Source organism: Homo sapiens, chromosome 18 (genome assembly GCF_000001405.40).
Source record: "Homo sapiens chromosome 18, GRCh38.p14 Primary Assembly".
In the NCBI taxonomy this organism is placed as follows: Eukaryota; Metazoa; Chordata; class Mammalia; order Primates; family Hominidae; genus Homo; species Homo sapiens.
In genome coordinates, this window is record NC_000018.10 from 67,666,420 (window position 1) to 67,693,114 (window position 26,695).

Here is a 26,695-nt window from a genome sequence, read left to right on the forward strand (position 1 = left end):
AAAATGTGTTCTATGACCTTAGTCACATCTCTATTCTTTCCCCAGAACAGCTATTCTTAATTTATGCTAGTACTATTCACTCATGTCTCCTAAATCACCTCACTCTCAGTAGGTGATTGGGATTTAACTTCAAAAAGAAAACAGTCATTAAAAGTGAAAACACTCAGTTTTGTAAAATCCCAACCTCCAAACTTAGCGATCCAAATTCATCTTTTCTGTTTTTCATTTCACAGTGCCTTCTCCTCTATTACTTTACCTAATAGAGGATCAGGAAGAAAGTCTTTTCTCTAATCAGCAGGCTGTAAGTATGAAAGGCCATATCTCCTGGTAATCTGAAGCTCTGTCTCAAAAAGGAGCTGGTTTGAAACATTAAAATCAACAGGGAGTTTGAAAAATATAGACAATAAATGTTGGCTCCCTAACACAATGCATGAGGTAGGTGCTATTATTTGCACTGTTTACAAACTTGCAAATTTAGACAGAGAGTCCTTAAGTAACCTGCTAGTAAGTTGTTGAGCTAAAGTTTGAACCCAGGCAGTCTGGCTCTAGAGTACATGTTTTTTTTTTTTTTTTTTTTTTTTTTTTTTTTTTTTTTTGAGACAGAGTCTCTGTCGTCCAGGCTGGAGTGCAGTGGCGCGATCTTGGCTCACTGCAAGCTCCGCCTCCCGGGTTCACGCCATTCTCCTGCCTCAGCCTCTCCGAGTAGCTGGGACTACAGGCGCCCACAACCACTCCCGGCTAAATTTTTGTATTTTTAGTAGAGACGGGGTTTCACCGTGGTCTCGATCTCCTGACCTCGTGATCCGCCCGCCTCGGTCTCCCAAAGTGCTGGGATTACAAGCGTGAGCCACCGCGCCCGGCCTAGAGTACATGTTTTTAACTGTCATACCACACTGCCGAATTTATGCTACAAGGTCATGAATGAGTTGCCATGCCGGTTTATATATTGGTGCTTCATAATTCTGGAATGTGAACCATCTTTAAGTCAGAGCATATCAATATGGAATAACCATTAAGTTTCTGAGATATACTAATTTACCCTCTTCTGGGAATCAAGAGACTTCACTGAAAGGCAGAAACCAAAGCTAAATTTGTAGAATAATTTCAGAATCCTAGATTACGGCTATTAGCATCCAGCAATTCAACTCTGATTTGACAGCAGGAGCCATCCCTTGGGGCCAGGACTGAATAAACCCAATAAGAAGTTTTTCATTCAAATAGTCCTACCTTCTTAACTGTAATCATTTTCTTCAGCTACATCTTGCCACAGATGCAGCAATCATTACTTTGTTTTATCTTTTGGGCAGAGCAGACACTGAACATCATTTCAATATAGCTTGCAGTTTAAACACAGTACAATTCATACTTATGCAATCTCATTTAATCTGTGTCTATGCCCTCGTTTCTCCTGGCCGCACCATTTCAATATAGTTGGGACTAGGTAGCTTTTCCTGCCTATAATCGTAAAAAGCACAGGATCCTTTGCAAAGTGATGAGTAAGGTGTTCAAGCTATTGAAGTTTCTCAGTGTTTCACTATTAAACTTTATCCCTGTGTTTTAAGGAAAGCTGATAGCTCTCTGGCTGTCATAAGGACAATGTATATAATAACCTCTCTTGCTTCCCCTGGGAGAGTCATGTTTTTCTTTCCCTCTGTAAAGACTATCATACAATACTATAATTTTATACATTCAAAATTTTACTACAAAATTATTAGTTCTTTTATTGTATAGATCTGTGACTATGATAAAGGCAGAATAATAGTCTATAAAATTCAGGAAAAAGCTTTTGGATACTAAATAGTCTAAACATTGGTATACTTACAGTTACTTAAGTCAGCACTGCATTTTGCCAGAGCAGATAAAGTTGAGCTTATCTACATAGATTCAATAACAATTGTTTTGCAAAATAGTTAACTTCTCCTGCTTTTCACTTATAAGCATATTTTTATTATAGTAATCTTTCCAAGTAGTTAATCTTTCTAAAGAAATCATTAAGTGAATCCACACAATATTGTGAATTCAAATGTGATTTAAAAAAATTGTTATGTCAGTATCCTCTCTTTACCTGTTTAGTTTAATGCTGGGCTGATTTCTACTCGAGAATCCTTGATGTGAGAATTGTTTGCTCAGTTTCTTTTATATCTTTAGCTCTCTTGCGCTCTCTCTCTCTCTCTCTCTCTCTCTCTGTGTGTGTGTGTAGCTGCTATAGAAGGGAACTGGAAATCAAGATAATTTTTATTACCACCATTTCTCTCATTTGTCTTTTGAAAGGGTTTCTATTACAAGTCAGTTTGACAAGTATTTATTGAGAAATTATTATGTAGTTTCTGTGTTCAAAGCACAGTTCAAAGCACTGTGTTCAATAACACATTGTGGTATGAACTGAATTGTGCTCCCCAATCCTGAATTCATATGTGGAAGCCTAATCCTCAGTGTGATAATAACTGGGGTTCAGGCCTTTGGGAGGTAATTAGGTTTAGATTAGGTCATGAGGATGGATGGGCCCATCATGATGGGACTGTAGTGCCCTTACAAGAAGACACAGCAGGAAGGTTGTTTGCTCTGTCCCCACCGTATGAGGACACAGCAAGAAGGCTGCTGTCCACAGGCCAGGAAAAGAGGCTGTACAAGGTACCTAATTGGCCAGCACCTTGGTCTCGGACTTCCCAGATCCCAGAACTGTGAGAAACAAATTTCTGTTGTGTAAGGCCCCAAGTCTGTGGTTTTTGTTGTGGCAGCCTGAGCAGAATAATACAGGTGGGACACAACATGGGGTGTAATCTACCTCTGTTCTCAAGGAGCTCATTGGAGCTGTAAGATAAGTGAAAAACATAATAGTATAGGGTTTAAAAATATATAGATAAGATGTTACTGGAATTTAGAAATAAAATTGGCATTAGCAAAGGACTTTGAGAACTGGCAGGATTTCATAGGAAGATATAGAGTAAAATCGTTCAGAAAGGAACAGGTAAGTGAAAGCGTTCAGATAGGAAAGCAGTGGAGTGCTTCCGTAGAAGTAAGTAATCCAAGCTGAGAGCACAATGTGGAGAGAAAAGTCAGTATGAGGATTTTAAGACAAAATAGTGACATTAAAGAATATTCCAAAGGGAAATTACTTTTACTTAACTATGCAGAAAACAAATATTATTGGAAGCTTATAGATATGTGTGTGATATGATTCAAGGTACAGTAGGCATTCATGAATTGATCAAAACATTGAATAAAACAGGAAGAATAAGAAGCAATAGTGCAGTAAGAAAAATAAGAATCTAACTTATGTCAGTGACTGAAGACGCAAGGGAAGAAACATGTTAATAGACATCAAGAAAATTAGATACATAAGACTTGGCAAAAAATTTTTAAAAAGTGAGAAAAATAAGTAAAGGTGATTTTGTACTTTAAGCCAGAATGTATCCATAACATCACCATTCTTGTACTATCAGGAGTGCATAATCTATGGCCCACACAAGTGCACACATGTATGTGTGTGCATGTGCACATATGCATGTGTACACACACACACACACACACACAGTCCTCCCTGGAATCTCAGGATAACAAGGAAAAGACATAGACAAGCCTGCTCAAAAGGAACTTTGGAAATTAAATAGCATCATAAGGCTTGATAAAGGAAGCAAGCTGATACAGCATACCAAGCCCAGCTGTAGTTAATACACAGATCTCTGAAGCTTACATGATTCAGATCCTTCTTTCACAAAATCATTCTTAAGTGATGATTTCTTCTCTAAAACAACATACCTATCAGAATGGTTACATAAGAACTAGTGATAAAACCAAATATTGGTAATGACGCAGAGCAACTGGATTGCGCATACATTGGTGGTAGGGATGAAAAACAATTCAGCCACTCTGGAAAATCATATGATTTTTCTTAAAAAATCCAAACAAACAAGTGCTTTTCATGCAATGCAACAATTGCACTCTTATGACATCTATCCCTGAAAAGTGAAACCACATGTTCCCACAAAATTTAACATAAATATTCATAGCAGCTTTATTTATAATAACCCCAAACTGGAAACAGCTATCTCCTCTTCTGTGGGCACTGTATGGAGAGGTCTCTGGAGATTTCTTCTGATGAAAACCATTATTTCAGGCTTCCTGGAGATTTCTTCTGATGCAAACCATTATTTCAGGCTTTCCTATGGCAAGACTGTACTTTGGAGGATAATTTTGGGAAATAGTGTCATGTATAGAAATACGAGATCTTAAGACTACTTGCGCTCAGATACTAGTTGGAAAGAATTCTTCACCCTAGCAGGTATGCCTGCTGCATCTCAAACCACAGGATTGAATTGGGCAGCCTTAGGGATGAAACTGAGGTAAGGGGCTATGAGTTTGAGTGTGTTCAATTTTCTTTTCAAAGATAATAATCTAAAATTTATTGATCAATTCTACCTTTATATTCTAATTTATTTCATCAATCTCCTATTCTTCTATATTGTTAACATCCAATATTCTGTAGCACAGTTTTCTCCTTCACCACCCCTTAAAGGTTGAACTGAATGTTTACTCCATTATTTTCCAGTTTTATTGGTATGAGAAGGATCATAATAAAAAAAATACTGTAAAATATTATGAGAATATTTTATATAGAGAGTGCATACTGCTTTTAATTGTGCTTACACACAAAACAGAAGAATATTGATGCAGATGCAGAAGCAAAGGAATATTTCTTGTTTTGCTTATGATAAGAAAAGTGATGGTAGCAAATCCACCCAAAGTATAATGTCTTTATTTCTTGTTCTTAACAATCCTTGTGGCTGGTTGGGTGCCTCTTCTCAGAAAGAAAGTTGAAAAAACCAGTCGCCTTCATTATCATAGCCATCTTCTAGATCAGCAATCCCCAACCTTTTTGGCACCAGGAACCGGTTTCGTGGAAGACAGTATTTCCGCCAATAGGAGCAGAGATGGTTTCGGAATGACTCGAGAGCATTCCATTTATTGTGCACTTTATTTCTATTATTATTACATTGCAATATATAATAAAATAATTACATAACTCCCCATAATGTAGTATCAGTGGGAGCCATGAGCTTGTTTTTCTGCAACTAGGTGGTCCCATCTGGGAGTGATGGGAGACAGTGACAGATCATCAGGCATTAGACTGTCATAGGGAGTGTGCCACTGAGATCCCTTGCATGTGCAGTTCACTATAGGGTTCGTGCTCCTGAGAGAATCTAATGCCACCACTGATCTGACAGGAGGCAGAGCTCAGGTGGTAATGCAGGCGATGCAGAGTGGCTGTAAATACCGATAAAGCTTTGCTTGCTTGCCTGCTGCTAACGTCTTGTTGTGTGGCCAGGTTTCTAACAGATCATGGATCATTACTGGTCTGTGGCCCAGGCGTTGGGGACCGTGCTCTAGATTCTTGTGTGCCTGGACACATTTATCCTGTTGTTGATCACCACTTTCCGAGGTAGTTATCACATCAAAGACTTTGCATCCCTTTCTGCTAAGTCAGATTGTTGCTAGGCTACCTAAAAGAGGATCCCTTGGATTATCCAGAACACAGCAAGAAATAAAGCAAGCCAAAACATACCAATGATCAAAGTGTGTGTGTGTGTGTGTGTGTGTGTGTGTGTTTGTGTATATCCAATAATACTTACATTTAGCATTTTCCCATGCCATTGAAACTGGCAATGAATGAAATGAGCATTCAAGTCAAGATAGCAAGGGAAGTATATCTCTGATGAAGGGAAAATTATATGGATAAAACATAAAGTGTTACATTAAAAGACAGAATATACAGACAGAATGGAAAAAGGCTTTAAAGATCATGATTTTTGCAACAAAGTTTAATTGAGTACATAGTAATTCATGACTACTCCATTGATTAACACTGTTGGAAGTTGGGTCATCTTGCATTTCGCAGATCCTGTGGTTTTCCTGTGCATGATGCATGCCCCTCAGGGAACGGGTATCTTGCAAAGAGACATTTAATCATGGATAGTCTTTAAATCCTCTACTTCAACATGTACTAGTTCCTGAAACTAATCTGCTAGAGAGATGATTGCAGTTATGGCCATTCTCCTCTCCCCTTCACAAACAGTCTTTTTTTCCAACTTACAAAAGAAAGGCTTACCTCTCACAAATCATAAATGTTAGTAGAGTGTAAAAACCTCTGGGAATCCAAACACATTTATAGTTCAAGAACTGGTGTCAGGAGAGCCTTATTGAATAAAGAAATGGCATTAATAAAAACTGTCTTATAAACATTCCTGTTAAAAGCAACTCACAGCATCAGACAATGAACATTTTAGTCCATTTAAATAATGTTCCAAGTTTACTCTGATTCTAGAACTGGGTGAAATGAGTGATAATATTTTATTTAGTGAAATTGCCTCTTCTATTCACATAGTTACTGGAAGACAAGTCCTGAGAGAACAAGCAAAGGAGACATGCAGAGAAACCCTGCAGTCAGCCGTGCTGGCGTTCATATAAACTCACAGCCAGGCATCCAATTCACGTTCTACCTCAGAATTAGGGCATTCAGGAATTGTAAAAACTATGTTGAGAAGTATCAGTCTGCCAAGAAGTTTTCCTCTCTGCAGCTCAGTAATGAGAAAAAGCTAGGAGAATATATTCGTTCAACCCATGATTAAGTCTGTGTTGCAACTGCGTATTTTTCATGATTTAAAAGGAGGTGAAACTTCCAATAAGTTAATGTGGCAATTTTGAAAAATAAGGTATATGAGCCAGTTGTAAGTAATTATTTCATAGTTTCTAGAACAGTTATTCAAATGTTAGAAGGAAAATTCCCATTAACATTTACAAAAAATATATTGTATAGTGGAAAATCTTACCCATTGATTTAGTTGGATCTAAGCCTTCTGCTCACTCTCTCTCATTAGTTACTTCTCTCCTGGTTATTTAATTACCATAATAAGTGCAACATTGTGGCCTGCATTCTAAATAAAGCATTTGTATGTTTATCTTTTGTAAGCTTCATTTATTAGATGCTCAACATATTTTTTTCCTCACGCTTTTAATTTTCAATGAAGTCTTTCTAATTCTAGCAGTAAGCAATCTTTATTCACAATGTAAATGAACTAATTGAAAAGAATAAACATCTAATTGGGATGCAGTTTCAGTAAAAATTTTCTTTTGCTTAATGATTATTTTTTAAGTATAAAATACTTTTGTGTTTACTTTTTCAATTCTATAATAATAATAGTAAGTCCAGAAAAGACTAGAAAAATATTTCCCTTCTTATTAGAAGATTAGAAAGTTAGAACTTTATGGTCACAGGAGATAAATAAAATGCAATTCAAGTAATATGTTTTATTTTTATAGAGAGATATGATGCAGTAGCAAACATAGAAAGAAAATACAAGTTCAAGGTATAAAAAGAAAAATGTTACTTTTTAACTATTAAAAATGACTGTTCACATATTTTTAAAATATCTGTTGTCTTAGTCTTTTCTTCTAGTACCTTCTAATCTCTCAATATCTAAATAGTGGTGTATCAAACATTTAACCCCTAGATTGCTTCACTCTGCAGTCTTCACAAATTCATTGTGGCCTCATCTAGTATAAATGTTAAAAATACCATAAAACATAAACATGTGAACTTATGTCTGCAGCCTGAACCTCCTCTGTACTCCACATTTATTTACACAACTTGCTATGCAACAGGCATCCCAGTAACTTGGAAGTTTAACACATAAAACTTAACATGTCCCAAACTGGGTATACTAAACATCTTATCCTGCCCCAGATTTTCCCCCATTTTGCCCATAATATGAACTTAATTCTTCCAGGAACTCAAGCCAAAATACTTGGGGTAATCTTTGAGTTATTTCTTTTTGTCACAGTCTAAATCCAAACTATTAGAATGCCTTATTGACTCTGCTTTGAAATATATTTAAATTTCAAACCTTTCCAACAACTTTTCCACTATGACCATAGTCGTAGCTAGCACCCCGATTCAAGTAACACACAATTTTACTATATTGTAATTTGTCCTGATTGACCTCCTTGCATCTTCCTTACCTTCCTATAGTCTAGTTTCAGCAGAGTGGCCAAAGCAACCCTTTTACAATATAAGTTGACTTATGTTCCTCTGTTCTAGTCCTTTTAATGATATCTCCAAATATTTGAAGTGAAATCCCTTAAGGTAACCAACAAATATTGCAGATATTCTAAAATCTAATATAGAGTAATATTAAAATTAGAAAAATGAACTGGGCTGGGCACGGTGGCTCATGCCTGTAACCCCAGCACTTTGGGAGGCCGAGGCTGGCAGATCATCTGAGGTTGGGAGTTCGAGACCAGCCTGGCCAACATGGCGAAACCCCGTCTCTACTAAAAATACAAAAATTAGCCTGGTGTGGTGGCCAGCGCCTGTAATCCCAGCTACTCAGGAGGCTGAGGCAGGAGAATCACTTGAACCCAAGAGGCAGAAGTTGCAGTGAGCAGAGACTGTACCTTTGCACCCCAGCCTGGGCAACAAAAGCGAAACTCTGTCTCAAAAGAAAGAAAAATGAACTGGACCCTGTTTCTTTTCTGACCGCATCTCCTGCAACTCTCACTCTTATTCTCTCTTGTGATTCTTCTTTGTTATTCCTCAGTTGTGTCAGGAATGTTGCTCCCTCAGGGAATATGAACTTACCATTCCTACTGCTCCTAAATATTCCCATCTTCCAACCTCATTTCTTACTGGTCTGTGTTATTTGACCAAAAGCCAAGGTTTTATAACAAGGAGATCCTAAGCAAAATACGTTAAATGAAATAGGCATTTATATCTGCCTGTGTACATTCTTTCAGTCTAGGCTCATGTAGTGACTTTCCTCCACATGGTTTTTGATGGCTCTGTCTTCCATTTTAATTATCTTCCTTCCCTTTGAGCACTGTTGCCATCTGCATGAATGGATATGAATAAAAAGAAAAGTCTAGGTCAAAGGTATTTCCTTTTAAATAAATTAGAGTTAAATTTTCACAGATTGCTTCTACGTATATTTCATTGCAAACAGTTGCATAGTGTTACCAGGGTAGTTAGAAAAGGTAGCCTATATTTGGACAACCATGTGTGCAGAAATGAGGGGAAAATGAGTACAGAGAGCAGGTAACCAAGGAGCTGCCTGCCACAGGATCTTCATTTAAATGGTACCTTTGGGGTGAGGCTTTCTTTGACGATCCTATTTAAAATTAACACTTTTCCCTTACTCTTCCAATTTGTTTGTCATTGTCTGCTTACTCCCACAAGAATATAAGCTATGTGAAGGCAGTGATTTTGTGATTGCAGAATCTCCTATGTGTCCAAAATGAATGCAAATAGGTGATCAGAGTAGACAAATAATTTTTCAATAAATTAGAAAAAAAATCAAAGTATTACCTCAAAAAAAGTTCAGTAGCCAAAAATTTTACACTGTTTTCTATTAATACCAGATCATACTTATCTTAATGGAATTATGCTAGAGTTTCAAACATTTGAAATTTAATAAAGTAAAAAAATGCGTGGTTACAAACTTGAAGATAACACAACTTCTACCATAGGCTATTGAATGAATAAGAGGCACATAAGCACACTCCTAAAAAACTAAGAGGAGAGAACCACTTATTCAGTGGGAAGAAAGTACCTTGAATCCTCTTCACTTTGCCAGTAATGTGGGATGTGGGGTCCTGCTGAGGGTGAGAGGGCAATCTGACTGCAGAGTGAGGAGATGTATGAACCAGATTAAGTCTAAAAAAATGTGGAGAGGAGGACTCAGTAGATTTTCTGGCAGCATCAACTTTGAATATAGAACTTTGAATATAGATACATGATTCCTAGTATCTCCTCTGAAATATCAGAATTTGGATGATTCTTGTATCACTTTTGATTTGGCCCGATTGTACAAGCTAACGTACCACCTTCTGAAGAGGTGAGCAGCTTGTGAATTCATGCCAGATGAATGTGATTAATTACAAACTGGTTCAAGGGCAAGAGTGTGGGTACAAACTTAACATACAATTCAGAGCACTTACCCATGCTCATTTATGAGCATTTTCTGTTATAGTTAGAATTCTGGTATTAGCCTCATTTTTAATAATACAGGATTTTTTTTGGTCAGATAATTTAACATACTTGTCTTAAAAAGGCAAATTTTACCATTTAACTGTGTAACGTTTTAAGTACAAAAGTAACTATTAATAATTAAATAACTTTAATCAATATTATAATCAGAACAAAATGAATGAATTATAAACTTAGAATGGCAGAAGCAAATCTACAACAATATCCATACTTTTTCATATAGGAGTAATTGTTTTTAATATCTAAAATCTTAAATGATTTTGACCCTTCCCTAACCCTTTCACTATTTTTTTCAAAAATAATGATTTTCCAGCTATTACTTTCTTTCTTCAGTTTAGCACTATGAATGGGATTATAAATACAGTGCTATGGTAAAATAATGAATAAAACATGAAACATCAAAGAATAGTTTTTGTAGCCCATTTGACAGTTATACACAATTCCATTTTAGCTGGGCAATGCTGCTGGGAAATACTTTAGGATATTTCCACAAATCAGATGTTTAAGCTAAAAGGAACAAAATAAAAATATGAAATAAAGATGGTGATGATAACAATGTTAATCATCATCATTATTTCCCAGTAAGCATTTGAAATAATTTTAAATCTAATATGTCCCCTCCCTCATGTTTGTATGCATCATACACAGAAGCCTGCATGCAATGAAGATAGAAAACACATACTGTGCAAGGAAGTCCATTCTAGCTTAATGTTTCTAAAATTTGGCTATGAGTGCAAATCTTGTAGGGAAGTTTTCTTTGTTACATATTTTAATATTGGCTCCAGAGCCCTCTTTCAGATATTTTGAGTCAGTGAGCTTAAGAAGGAGCTGGGAAATAAATATCTATAAAAACTGCTGAGAAGACTCAAAGTTGGATAGTCAGTTTTGGAAACCACTAACTTAGGACCACCTCTTCTGTAGTCTTCAACTAAATCTCCTGTAAGTGTTTTATTCTGAACATAAATAAAAGCATGATCAATCACGCAGAATTATTTGAATATAAACAACATGTAATGTGAGTCCATGACCTCAACTCTAGGACTTAAAGTCACTAACTTGTACAAGAACTACTTTTATTGTGATACAATACTACCACATATGACATATAATACCGCTACTACAAAAATACTACATTATTTGATTAGTTGTATTGATGGTTACTGCTTGCTGACTCAAGAACTGTCCAAATTACTTCAGATCCTACAAATCACCTGCCATCCCATACATCTTTCCCTGATTGCTGCTGATCTAAATCATACAGTAAGATGTCAAGGGAGTCAACATGTGCCCTATTTAGAATTTCTCATCGGTGTAGAATATTTTCTCAGTGGCAGTTGATAGTCACAACTCCAGATAACTGTTTTGTGTTTTATGCTGATACGTAAATCAGCATTTTAATAGTGGCATAAAATTTATATTATTTTGAAGCATTCAGTATTTTGACAATATCTAGGTGATTCTGGAAATGGAAACATGTATTTATTTTAATCATATCAGAAAAAAGGCAGTCAAATATCTTCTGCATCATACTGAAAACAAAGAAATTATTAAAGGTTTCTTCTTTAAATACATTTTACCATTTTGAAAACTTAATTAATCTTCTTCTCTATGTGTTTTACCTCAAAATTCTTTCAATATTTTCATTAATAGTTTATGCATACAGTTTGGGTTTTTTTTAAATACATACATTATCTTGTACATATGTAACTTATACATACATTGTCCAGCTTTTGCATATTAATTCTAAGAATCATATAGACTGGCCCACAAAATATTTAAAATATCTTTACAGATTCAATATATTTTAACAAAATCTTTTATGTTTGTTATTCAGAGTATGTATGCATATGCTAATGTCATTAGAGTAAGCCTTGATTGAAAATGTACTTGCTGTTTAGTTAGTGGTATAAAAATCCCAAGACATCTGATTTTACTATTGTGAAATTAGAAACAAGGAGTATTGATTTCATTTCAACACATTTAAATAAGCCTTACTTACTTTTATAAAATGCCACCCACTAAACTATTGTCAGGCAGCGAACTGTTCTGGAAGAAGAAAACAATACATACATACATATACATATATATGTGTGTGTGTGTGTGTATACTTAGATAAAATATTTTTCTTTCTTAAATTTATTTTATTCCTGTACAGAATTTTTTTTTTTTTACTTTTGTAAGTTGCCAGTGTTTCTTGAAAACAGCATATGTTTAGATCCTGATTGTTATCCATTCCACCAATCTACCTCTTTAACCAGAGCATTTAATCCATTTACATTCAAAGTTAATATTGATTTGTGAGGTTCTTTTCTTGTCATAATGTTGTTACCTAGTTGCTTTGTAGTTTCAATTGTGTAATTGTTTAATGAGTCCTGTGAATTTCATACTTTTTTGTGTTTATATGATGATTAGTACTGACCTTTTATTTTCATATTTAGAGTTCCCTTGAGCATTTCTACTAGTTCAGGTCTCATGATGATGAATTCCTTTAGTGTTTGCTTATCTAGAAAATACTTTATTTCTCCTTCATTTATGATGCTTAGTTAAACTGTATACAAAATTCTGCATTGAGAGTTTTTCTTTAAGATTCTGAAAATAGGACCACCATCACTTCTGGCTGGTAAGGATACTGCTTAGTAGTCCTCTGTTAGTTTAATGTGATTTTCTTTATAGATGATTAGACATTTTGGCTGATTTTGGAATTTTTTCCTTGAGGGTGACTTAATTAGTCTAATGACAAGAATCTTAGTGACGATTCTTCTTGCAAGGTATCTTCCTTGAGTTCTCTGACCCTCTTGTTTCTTTAAGTCTAAATCTCTAGAAAGCCTAGGAAAGTGTTCCTCAACTATCTTCTCAAATAGATTTTTTCTAACTTTTTACTCATTTTTCTCCCTTAGGAATACATACAACTTGCAGGTTTGTATGTTTTAAATATTCCCATAATCCTCAAAGGCTTTGTTCATTTTTTAAAAATTTATCTAACTGGTCAGACACTTATAGACTAAAGGCTAAATGGTGTAAAAGATATTCCACTTAAACAGAAACAGTGAACAGGAGTAGCTATACTTCTATCAGAAAAAAAAAACGGCTTTGAAATAATGATAGTAAAAAAAAGATAAAGAAGTTCATTATATAATGATAAACAGATAAATTCAAAAAGAAAATATAACAGCCCTCAATATATGTTCACTCAACACGAAAGCACCTAGATTCATAAAACAAATACTGCTAGAATTAAGATAAAGAGATAAACAGCAAAACAATAATAGTAGGGGACTTCAACATCCCACTCCCAGCACTAGACAGATCATTGAGACAGAAAGTGAACGTAGAAACACTATACTTAAGTTGAACTCTAGAGCAAATGGACTTAACAGACATTGACAGAACATTCTACCCAACTACCACAGAATATGCATTTGTCTCATCAGTGAATGAAGCATTTTCTAAGATAGACAATATTTTAGGCCACAAAATAAGTCTCAATAATTTTTTTTTTTTTGATGGAGTCTCACTCTGTTGCCAGGCTGGAGTGCAGTGGCTGCAGTGGCTCAGTCTCCACTCACTGCAACCTCCACTTCCTGGGTTCAAGCGATTCTCCTGCCTCAGCCTCCCGAGTAGCTGGGGTTATAGGTGCCCACCACCATGCCCAGCTAATTTCTGTATTTTTAGTAGAGATGGGATTTCACCATGTTTGCCAGGATGGTCTTGGACTCCTGACGTCATGTTGCACCCGCCTCTGCCTCCCAAAGTGTTGGGATTACAGGCGAGAGCCACCGCGCCTGGCCAAGTCTCAATAAATTAAAAAAAAAAATCAAATCATGTAAAGTATCTTCTAGGACCACAGTAGGATAAAAATAAAAATAAATTCCAAGATGAAGTAAGAAACTATAAAAATTTACGGAAATGATATAATCTACTCCTGAATGATCCTTGGGTTAATGGCAAAATTAAAATGGAAACTAAAAAAATTATATTTTATAATTTTATATTTTAATGTAATTTTATGTTTTTTTATAATTTTGTTCATTTTTGAAATGAATAAAAATAGAGACACAGCACCAGTCCTCTGAGATATAGTAAAAGCAGTGCTGAGAGGGAAGTTAATAGCATTAAATGCCTATGTCAAAAAGATAGATGTAAAATTGACAACCTAATGTCGCATCCCAAGGAACTTGAAAAATAAGAACAAACCAAACACAAAGCTAGCAGAAGAAAAGAAATAACAAAGATCAGAGCAAAACTAAATACATTTGTGACTAAGAAAATGATACAAAGAACAAATGAAATGAAAAGTTGGTCATTTGAAAAGATCAACAAAATTGATAGACCACTAGCTAGATTAACCAAGAAAAGATTCAAATAAGCCCAGAAATTAAAAGCAAACATTACAATTGACACGACAGAAATACGAAAGATTAGCAGAGACTTCTATGAATCTCTATACTCACAAACTAGAAAACCTAGAGGAAGTGTATAAATTTCTGGAGCCATACAACCTCCCAAGATTTAATCAGGAGGAAATAGAAATTCTTAACAGACTAATAACAAGTAGTCAGATTTAATCAGTAATAATAATGAAAAAAAAAAAATCCCTCCAAAAAGCAACCCAGAACATGCAGGATTCAGAGTCAAATTCTACCAGCTGTATAAAGACAAACTGGTACCAATGCTACTGAAACTAATCCAAAAAGTTGAGGAGAAATAAATCTTCCTAACTCATCCTATGAAGTCAGCATCAATCTCATACCAAAGCCAGGCAAAGACATAACAAAAAAAGGAAACAAATATTCTCAACAAAATACTAACAAACCAAACCCAATAACAGCACATCAAAAGATAATATGCCATGATTAAGCAGGTTTTATTTCAGGGATTCAAGGATTGCTTAACATACACAAATCAATAAATGTGATTTACCACATAAACACAATTAAAAACGAAAACGTTATGATCCTCTCAATAGATGCAGAAAAAGCATTTGACAAAATTTAACAACTCTTTATGATAAAAATTCTCAACAAATTAGACATAGGAGAAGAAACATATCCTAAGGTCGTAAAAGTTGTATCTGACAAACTCACAGCCAACATCACACTGAATGGGGAATAGTTGAAAGTATTACCCCTGAGAACTGGAACAAGACAATGATTCCCACTTTCAACACTCCTATTCAATGTAGTACTGGAAGTCCTCTCCAGAACAATCTAGCAAGAGAAAGAAATAAAAGCCATCCAAATTGGGAGAGAGGAAGTCAAATTATTGTTGTTTCCTTATATGCTCTTATACCTAGAAAACCCTAAAGATTCCTCAGAAGTCTCCTATATTTGATAAGTGAATTTAGTAAAATTTTGGCATACAAAAATCAATGTACAAAAATCAGTAGCATTTGATCAATAATGATCAAGATGAGAATCAGATCAAGAACTGAATCCCATTTACAATAGCTACCAAAACAAAACAATACAAAACCCTAGGAACACATTTAACCAAGGAGTTGAGAGATCTCTGCAAGGAATGCTATAACCCCCATACTCATAGATTGGAAGAATTAGCATCATTACAATACCATACTGCCCAAAGCAATGTAAAGATTCAATTCAGTTTCTGTGAAAATACAAATGTCATATTTTTTTACATAACTAGAAAAACAATCCTAAAATACACATGGAACAAAAACAGAAAAAGCACAAATAGCCAAAGCAATTCTAAGCAAAGAGAACAAAGCTGGAGACATCACATTACCGAACTTCAAATTATGCTACAAGGTGATAGTAACCAAAACTGCATGGTAATGGTATAAAAATAGACATATATATAAATGGATATCAACAGATAATCCAGAAATAAAGTCACAAGGAAAGGGCACTCTATTGAATAAATAGTGCTGGGAAAATTGGATGGCTCTATTCAGAAGAATAAAATTGGACCCATATCTCTCACCATATACCAAAATTTACGCAAGATAGATTAAAGTCTTAAATGTAAGTCCTAAAACTATAAAAACTCATAGAAAAAAAAAAAACTAAGAAAAACTCTTCTGTACATTGGCCTTAGTAAAGAATTTATGATTAAGAATACAAAAGCAAATGCAACAGCAATAAAAAAAAATAGGCAAATCAGACTTTGTTAAATTAGAAACTTCTGCACAGCAAAAGAAATAACCAACAGAGTAAACAGACAATCAACATTGCAAACTATGCATTTGGCAAAGGACTAATAGAATCTTCAAGGAACTTAACTCAATGAGAGAAAAAAATAACCCTATTAAAAAGTGGGCAAAGGACATGAACGCTTTTCAAAAGGAGACATACAAGCAGCCAACAAACATAAAAAAATTGCTAAACATCACTAATCATAGAGAAATGCAAATTAAAACCACAATGAGATACAGTCTTACAACACTCAGAATGGAAAAGTCAAAAACAACACATGTTGAGAATACAAAAAGACAAAAAAAGAATGCTTATACTGTTGGTGGAAATGTACATTACTACAATCTCTATGGAAAGCAGTATGGAGATTTCTCAAATAATTGAGAATAGAACTACCATTCAAACCAGTAATTCCACTAGTGGGTATCCATCCAAAGGAAAAGAAAGCATTATCTATATCTATATCTATATCTATTTTATATATAAATATATATTATTGTATATTATATATATTTTATATATATTATATGTATTTTATATATATATAGTGCACTCATATGTTTATTGCAGCATTGTTTGCAATAGCAGAGATATGGAATCAACTCAAGTGTTCATCATGACTGAATAAAGAAAATGTGGGGTGTGTGTCTGTGTGTGTGTGTGTGTCCATATGTGTGTATATACATATATATACACACACATATATATACACACACATATATATACATATATACACATATATACATATATGTGTATATTATATATATATACACACACTTCTTAGCCATTAGAAAAGAATGAAATCATGTATTTTGCAGCAATATGGGTAGAAGTGGAGGACATTATATTCAGTAAATTAACTCACAAACAGAATGTCATATACCACATAGTCTCACTTATAAGTGGGAGTTAATTAATTTGTATATATGGACATAGACAGTGAAATAATAGACACTGGAATCTCAGAAAGGTGAGTGGGGGGAAGGAGGGTGAGGGATGAGAAATTACCCAATGAATATGATGTATACTATTCGGGTGATGGTTCTACTAAAAGCTCAGACTTCAGCACTACACAGTATATTCATGTTAGAAACCTGTACTTGTATCTCCTTCAATTTGTAAAAATTTTTTTTAAAAGTACTAATGTTATGAAGTCTGCATGTTTTATCAGAAAATACAGCAATAAAAATAGAAAGTTGGTCTGTATTCATTGTCTCCAACAACCCTTTGCTCCAAATTGTAATTTTGAAAAATTTATAAGCTATGAAGATTGAAGAAATGTAAACATGTATAAATTGATAAAAGAAAATTTGATTTTACTGAGAGTACTAAGGGATATTTTTTTTTTTTTTTGAGACGGAGTTTCATTCTTGTTGCCCAAGCTGGAGTGCAGTGGCGCCATCTCGGCTCACGGCAACCTCCGCCTCCTGGGTTCAAGCGATTCTCCTACCTCACCCTCCCGAGTAGCTGGGACTACAGGCACATGCCACCACGCCCGGCTAATTTTTTTGTATTTTTAGTAGAGATGGGGTTTCTCCATGTTGGTCAGGCTGGTCTCGAACTCCCAACGTCAGGTGATCCACCCACCTGGGCCTCCCAAAGTGCTAGGATTACAGGCTTAAGCCACCGCACCCGACCAGGATATTCCATTTTAAAAAATGAACTTTATTGTATACAGTTAAGGCATAAAGCATTATTTATAAGATTCATAAAAATAGTAAAATGGTTACTGTAGTGAAACAAGTTAACATGTCCATGATCCCACATAGTTAACCATTTTCCCAAACCATTGTCAAGATCAGCCATAATCTACTCATTTAGCAAAAATCCTGAATATAAGACAGAGATGATTTTTAAGATATTGGGATTTAATAGAGTTTCACAGATAATTCTTATTTAATCTTATATTGGTTTTGATTTGCACACTGATTTTAGAATCATTCTCAAGCCAGAGGTCTCCATTTTCCTTTATAAATTAGCTAGAACTAATAGACAATTCAGTCTAACTGCACTTTTTTTTGGAAAAAAAATATAAAAAATACTTTGGGAAATTTTCTAAATGACTAAATTGTACTCTGTGAAATTATTAGACAATTGAGAACTGAAATTTTCTCACTGTTTCACAGTTAAATTACTATATTACTCTATTCTATGTTAGGATCTAGTTTTTTGTAACATTGCATGGCTCATAGATAAACAACTTACGAGCAATCTTCTTAGAAAAAAGAATCTCTAAGAAGACAACTGCTCAATTGCAGTTTGTCTAGTAAATATCAGAGTTTTGAGGAGACATTCATGTCTGTAGAAATTTGTATAATTCCTGCATATGATTTATTTGCATCATGATGAATATTATCTCACATAACTTCAAAGTAAAAACACTGTGAAGTGACTAACTTCCACTGTAATTTCAATTAGTATTGATTAATATTCATATTCAAAACTTAATTTTCTTCAAAGTTACTGCCCTAGTTTAAGTGATTTTTATATGGGAATTAATTAAATTTAGACACTAACAGTTAAGGGGCTATGGAGTTTTCAAAATTCTAACTAGATATACTTTACTGCCCTAAATTATTGGGTTTGTGTGAGCCACGTATACCTCTTTACTTTTTTCTTATTAAAAATAATAAATTTTATTATGGAAAATTTCAAATGTATGCAAAATTAAAGCTAATTTTATCATAAAACCTTATGTACCCAAAACCATCTTAAGTAATTATCAACTCTTGACAATTTAATCAATTCTTCTGCCAAAAGCTTCTCCCATCTTTTTGATATATTTTGAGGTAAGACCACACATGTAATATTTTATTCTCAAGTAATTCACTATGTATATTTTAAAATATACTTATTTTGTCAGGCAGAGTGGCTCACACCTGTAATTCTAGGGTTTTGGGAGGATAGGGCAGGAGCATCTCTTGAGTCCAGGAGTGTGAGACCAGCCTGGGAAGCATAGTGAGACCTTGCACCTGTAGTCCCAACTACTTGGGAGGCTGAGGCAGGAGGATTGCTTGAGTCTAGAAGCTTGAGGCTGCAGTGAGCAATGATCAGGCCACTGCACTCTAGCCTGGGCAACAGAGTGAGACCCTCTTTCAATAAATAAATAAACTTGTTTTTATATTACCTAACCATATATATCACATAAAACTAACATTAATTCCTTAATGACAACATCCAGTAAATGCTGAAATTTCTTTGATTGAATTAGGATGTAAATTAGACATTCCAATTGGTTGATTTATCAAATTGCTATTGACCCCGCCAGATCACCCACAACTTCTTCAGAGGGTACCCAAAATATCTAAATCCCTTCCCCTTAGTCTTAGGGGACTTTCTCTTGTCACTGTGGTCCTTTACGCTGCCCATTTGGCCAGACCAATATTCCAGGAAATTAGAGCCCTTCCAAGAATTGTTTGGAAATTTAGTAGATTATCTCTGAGACACTTTTTTATCTGACTCTTAAGAGTTTCCCAGTGAAATTTATCTCCATTCTTACAACGTAACAAAGAGTTTTAAAACCACATTATTAACTTTCTCTCCTTTTTATCTCCCCTCTAAGTTTTTCTAGCTTTACCTCCCAAATAAACCACCTGCACTAGAATCCTAATATCAGAATGTGCTTTTGGGGAAATCCAACTAAGACAGTTGATTTTCAGAGCTCTTTTTATGTATATTTGTAAATTTGTATTTTTCAATCAGGGAATAAAATCTGTGTAGTAAAAATTCTAAAGGATCGCTGACCTTAGGCATACTTTCACACGTTATACCAATTTACAGCAATATAAAGATAGTTTCTAGCACCCCATAAATTTTGGAAGAATCTCAGCTATTGTCAGGTCAAATATTGACTGTGTCTCATTCTCTCTTTCCTTCCCTTGTGAGGCTCCAGTTACATGAATTTTCAATTGTGTAACGGTTTCCCATGTCTATATTTTCCTTTTCTGTTTTTAAAAAAATTACTATTTTTTTACTTAAGGTCAATATACCATTACATATTTTCCTTTATCCTATTTTATTTGGGGTGGTGGGCAGGTAATCTATCAGTTCTACCTTCTACAAACAACATTGAACTTATCTAATAATAAATTTTGCATACATTCCCCTTTCCATTACCCAGATTCTAATTTAAAGTAATTGCCTCTTTTCCCTAGCTAATGCCACTTATATCATTAAGCACTATTTAATTTTACATATTCTACTTCATCTCTTTCCATTATTTTGATAGTTCTACTGCATCTACAATATCAAAACATGACTTTTACACACTCTACTCTTTTTCATAGATGTAATTGTCCCTTAATTTTACAGGTAAATATATATTCAGCGATCATCATATCCATTATAGGTCTCTCTAGCTATTTTGAATGTCTGGAACTCACTTTCGGCTATAATACCGAAGAAACTGAGAAGAATCTTATTTTCCATGCTCTTGAATATTTATAATATTTGTTGTCTAGCCTTTACAATTAAAAGTAAGTTTGTCAGGATATGTAATCGTTGGCTTACTCTTTTTTCCTTAAATGTGTTAAATATGTGTCTTTGCTATTTTCTGGTGTAAATAATTGCTGTTGAACATTAATGACAATATGATTTTCTTCCCTTCATGAGTGAATTGTACATTTTGCTTTGATGTTTAAAGATTTCCCAAGCCCCTTTAACATTAAATGGTTTCACTTGACTATGTCATAGTGTTGGCTATATTTGACTAAATTTTCAGTGATGTGGTATGGCCTTTCAATCCCTAGGTACGAGTCTTCATTGATTCCAAATATTTTTTGAATAATTATTTGTAAATGTTGCTGTGCACCATCTTTCCAGGGAGATCTATTTCCTATATTTTATACCTATAAATATATCAGAGTTCATATATTTTTTTCTTTGCTTTTTTAAAAATTATACTTTAAGTTTTAGGGTACATGTGCACAACGTGCAGGTTTGCTACATATGTATACATGTGCCATATTGGTGTGCTGCACCCATTAACTCGTCATTTAACATTAGGTGTATCTCCTAATGCTATCCCTCCCCCCTTCCCCCACCCCACAACAGGCCCCTGTGTGTGATGTTCCCCATCCTGTGTCCATGTGTTCTCGTTGTTCAATTCCCACCTATGAGTGAGAACGTGCGGTGTTTGGTTTTTTGTCCTTGCGATAGTTTGCTGAGAAAGATGGTTTCCAGCTTCATCCATGTCCCTACAAAGGACACGAACTCATCCTTTTTTAGGGCTGCATAGTATTACATGGTGTATATGTGCTACATTTTCTTAATCCAGTCTATCATTGGTGGACATTTGGGTTGGTTCCAAGTCTTTGCTATTGTGAATAGTGCCGCAATAAACATACGTGTGCATATGTCTTTATAGCAGCATGATTTATAATCCTTTGGGTATATACCCAGTAATGGGGTGGCTGGGTCAAATGGTATTTCTAGTTCTAGATCCCTGAGGAATTGCCACACTGACTTCCACAATGGTTGAACTAGTTTACAGTCCCACCAACAGTGTAAAAGTGTTCCTATTTCTCCACATCCTCTCCAGTACCTGTTGTTTCCTGACTTTTTAATGATCACTATTCTAACTGGTGTAAGATGGTATCTCACTGTGGTTTTGATTTGTATTTCTCTGATGGCCAGTGATGATGAGCATTTTTTCATGTGTCTTTTGGCTGCATAAATGTCTTCTTTTGAGAAGTGTCTGTTCATATCCTTCGACCACTTTTGGATGGGATTGTTTGTTTTTTTCTTGTAAATTTGTTTGAGTTCATTGTAGATTCTGGATATTAGCACTTTGTCAGATGAGTAGATTGCAAAATTTTTCTCCCATTCTGTAGGTTGCCTGTTCACCCTGATGGTAGTTTCTTTTGCTGTGCAGAAGCTCTTTAGTTTAATTAGATCTCATTTGCCAATTTTGGCTTTTGTTGCCATTGCTTTTGGTGTTTTAGACATGAAGTCCTTGCCCATGCCTATGTCCTGAATGGTAATGCCTAGGTTTTCTTCTAGGGTTTTTATGATTCTAGGTCTAACATTTAAGTCTTTAATCCATCTTGAATTAATATTTGTATAAGGTATAAGGAAGGGATCCAGTTTCAGCTTTCTACATATGGCTAGCCAGTTTTCCCAGCACCATTTATTAAACAGGGAATCCTTTCCCCATTTCTTGTTTTTGTCAGGTTTGTCAAAGATCAGATAGTTGTAGATATGCGGCATTATTTCTGAGGGCTCTGTTCTGTTCCATTGGTCTATATCTCTGTATTGGTACCAGTACCATGCTGTTTTGGTTTTTGTAGACTTGTAGTATAGTTTGAAGTCAGGTAGTGTGATGCTCCAGCTTTGTTCTTTTGGCTTAGGATTGACTTGGCAATGCAGGCTCTTTTTTGGTTCCATATGAACTTTAAAGTAGTTTTTTCCAATTCTGTGAAGAAAGTCATTGGTAGCTTGATGGGGATGGCATTGAATCTATAAATTACCTTGGGCAGTATGGCCATTTTCACAATATTGATTCTTCCTACTCATGCGTATGGAATGTTCTTCCATTTGTCTGTATCCTCTTTTATTTCCTTGAGCAGTGGTTTGTAGTTCTCCTTGAAGAGGTCCTTCACATCCCTTTAAGTTGGATTCCTATGTATTTTATTCTCTTTGAAGCAATTGTGAATGGGAGTTCACTCATGATTTGGCTCTCTGTTTGTCTGTTATTGGTGTATAAGAATGCTTGTGATTTTTGCACATTGATTTTGTATCCTGAGACTTTGCTGAAGTTACCTATCAGCTTAAGGAGATTTTGGGCAGAAATGATGGGGTTTTCTAGATAAACAATCATGTCATCTGCAAACAGGGTCAATTTGACTTCCTCTTTTCCTAATTGAATACCCTTTATTTCCTTCTCCTGACTGCCCTGGCCAGAGCTTCCAACACTATGTTGAATAGGAGTGGTGAGAGAGGGCATCCCTGTCTTGTGCCAGTTTTCAAAGGGAATGCTTCCAGTTTTTGCCCATTCAGTATGATATTGGCTGTGGGTTTGTCATAGATAGCTCTTATTATTTTGAGATACATCCCATCAATATTTATTGAGCGTTTTTAGCATGAAGGGTTGTTGAATATTGTCAAAGGCCTTTTCTGCATCTATTGAGATAATCATGTGGTTTTTGTCGTTGGTTCTGTTTATATGCTGGATTACATTTATTGATTTGCATATGTTGAACCAGCCTTGCATTCCAGGGATGAAGCCCACTTTATCATGGTGGATAAGCTTTGCTTTTTTGACCAATTTTCTTTCCAATTTTATTTACATTATAATTGATACATAAAAATGATTTGGCAAAGTTTAACCACTATTTATAATTTTAAAAAATGCTCAGGAAACATAGGAATAGAAAGGAACTCTCTCAACTTGAGAAAGTTTTCTATAAACAAAAATGTTTTTAATGAGTTACATTCACTTATTTTTATTTTTGAAATAAGCATGTTGTCTAAAATTCTGTCTACATATTTTCCGTTTTCTATTCAAATATTTTAATGTAAACATCTTATGAATTGTTCTACTTCCATTCTATGCTTTTTCTTTCATTTTCTTCATTTTTTACTTAATTTTAGATATTAATGTAAAAATTTTGTCTGTTTTTTGGCATGTCATTCTAGTAGAAACATTAATCTGTTTATTTTTAATATAAAATTTTGTATAAGATTTAACTACAGTCTTTTTTCTCTTGTTCTAATTTAAATTAGTTAAGTTTTCTGTATTATAAGGAGAGGAGAGTGGGCCAGAAAATATTCTCTAGCTACAGTAATTTGGTGTCCTTTTTTTGATTGTTTACTAAATTGATTGAACACCAATCTTACACATTCTATTCCAGAAAAAGAAAAGGAAAAGATCTTTCCCAGTTTCCTTTATGAAGTTGGTATTACCTTACATTAAAAACCAGACAAAGACAGTACAAAAAATAATACAAAAGGCCGATATCTTTCATGAATACAAGCCCACTTTTTGATGGGATTATTTGCTTTTGTCTTGCTGATTCCTTTGAATTCCTTGTAGATTCTGGCTATCTTTTTTGTATGCAGGTTGTCAGGGAAGTCAGGGAAAGCCGGCAGTCACAGGCCTCACCCAGCTCCCACGCAAACCGAAGGGCCAGTCTTACTCCCACCGTGCCCCCCCACCCCCAACAACTCTAAGTCTGTTTCCAGGTGGTGTGTGAGCTGGAGCTTGAGAACTTGCTCCACACTACCTGCATCCCAGCTGTGAAAGAAAAGGGCTTGGTTCTTCCCCTGCCTGGAGTATGCACACTGGATTGATGCCCTCCCCCGAGTTCTGGCCAGGAGGCTTCTCACCCTGTTGAAATTGTTACCAAGTTCAGCTGGAGATTTCCTTCTGTCTGTCGTCTTTTCCCCCAATTCCTCTGGCTACCCTCCCGATGGATCCCTGTTGTGCCAGGGAGAAATGGCCTCTTGGGAACTCAGCTAGCTCCCAGGGCCTTTCTGCTGCTTCCTCTGCCCCTGTATTCCACTTGACCCTCTAAATTGACTCAGTTCCAGGTCAGGCTGGAAACTTTTTCCACAAATAGACCTTCAGTTTCTCCAGTGGGGGTGTGTGTTCAGGAGAGGAGGATCTCCCTTTCCCACTTCTGCAGTTGGGGCACTCACAGTATTCTGGGTGTCTCCCCGGTCCTGTAGGAACAGTCTGAGCGTCTGTGGGTCCTCTTGAGTCCATTAAACCTCTTTCCTTTATAAATTACTCAGTCTTGGTTATGTCTTTATTAGTAGCATAAGAACAGACTCATACAGTGATGGAACTGTTGTCTATATCCTGATTATAATGTGTATTTTACTCCTTTTTCTTTTTTGAGACAGTGTCTCAGTCTGATGTCCAGGCTGGAGTGCATTGGCACAATAACAGTTCGCTGTAATCTTTTTTTTTTTTCTTGATATGGAGTCTTGCTCTCTTGCCCAGGCTGGAGTGTAGTGGTATGATCCCGGCTCACTGCAACCTCCGCCTCCTGGGTTCAAACAATTCTTCTGCCTTAGTCTCCCAAGTAGCTGGGATTACAGGCACCCGCCACCATGCCTGGCTAAATTTTGTATTTTAGTAGAGATGGACTTTCACATTGTAGGGAAGGCCGGTCTCGAACTCGTGACCACAAGCAATCCCCCCGTCTCAGCTTCCCAAAGTGCTGGGATTACAGGTGTGAGCCACTGCACCGGGCCTGTAATCTTGAACTGGTGGGATCAAGCAATCCTCCCACCTCCATCTCCTGAGGAGTTGGGACTATAGGCATTCGCCACCATGCCTAGCCAATTTATTTTTTAAAAATTACTTTGTATAGATGGGGTCTCGGCTATGTTGCCCTTGTTTCAAACTCTTGGCCTTGAATGTTTCTTTTACCTTGGCCTCCCACTTTGCTGGGAATACAGGCATGAGCCACAGTGCCCGGCCCCCCAGTTGTAATATTTTACTATAGTTTTGTCTGATGTCACATTGGGAAAAACTGAAAAGTCTTCAAGGGCTCTCTCTGTATTCTTTCTTACAATTGCATGTGAACTTATAATGTTCTCAACGTATAAAGCTTAATTATAAAAATCAAGGCTATCAACCTTTTTTCATTGCAGGATATCCAGGCAAAACTTGCTCAAGAAGAAAAGAGTCCCCCATCTTGTTAACTTAAACACACTAGAATGCTATGCTGAAATGTGGAACTAAACAAAAGGAATCAAGTGCTAAAATGAACTTGTACTTTCTGAGGTTTGCCTCCCATGTTTCTTCTTTACCTTTTATATGGGCATTCACTTCTCTTTGCCCCTAATGCTTCTGTCTTTTTCAATTTAGTTTCTACTCTTTGTATATATTATTTTGTTTTCTTTCTTTGTTTTTTCATTTCAGGTTTTGCCTTAGAAGAGGGTTTGATTTCAGAGTACGCAAAATTCATAGGGCTCAGATTGCATCCATATCTTTCAAACCTTCAAAGACTTTCTTTATTCTCCCAGCAAATTGCATAGTGAAATTCTCTCCCCCTTTTACCTGCTATTGCTAGAATAGCCAGCTTTACTTTCAGGCTGAGTTAAAATCTCTTCCATTTGGGGTACTTGCTTTGAATATTTGTTTTCTTAGTTCTCCAGGTCTTCAATTCACTTGTCTGCTCTCTACTTACTGTAATATAGTTGCCAAAATTATGTGGTTTTGCTATTGCTAGTTGTTTAACACTACCCACTCCTCTCCTCCAAACACATGTGCCTCACAGTTGGAGTTTGTGTGGATATCTGGTAATGTCATTTTGGGGTGCAGATTGGCTTTGGGTTAGGTACTGAATTGTTTCGTCCTCATGGCTCCATCTACATTTGAGGAAAAACTGTTCGGAAAGATTCAAAATGATACTACTGCTACAACTGCCGTCGTGTCTATTTATAGTTTGTGGCATTTTTCTATGGTGCTTGCATTCTCTTTTGCTTTGTTAAAATCCTGTATGACCAAAAGTGAGATCAAGTATAATTTTCAGCTGCTTTCAACACTGAG

General features: G+C 35.6%; 2 long non-coding RNA genes across 2 annotated transcripts in view; one reads left to right on the forward strand and one right to left on the reverse strand.

Moving 5' to 3' along the window:
* Nucleotides 1–26,695, forward strand: part of DSEL-AS1 (DSEL antisense RNA 1) — a 383,074-nt gene that overhangs the window by 149,874 nt on the left and 206,505 nt on the right. The gene's annotated exons all lie outside the window — the stretch shown is intronic.
* Nucleotides 5,805–26,695, reverse strand: part of LOC105372173 (uncharacterized) — a 94,828-nt gene continuing 73,937 nt past the window's right edge. The window contains exons 2-4 of the long non-coding RNA NR_188049.1: nt 8,636–8,883; nt 6,107–6,193; nt 5,805–5,945 (exon numbers count right to left, since the gene is read on the reverse strand). This is a non-coding gene — a long non-coding RNA (uncharacterized LOC105372173). The remainder of the gene's footprint in view (nt 5,946–6,106; nt 6,194–8,635; nt 8,884–26,695) is intronic.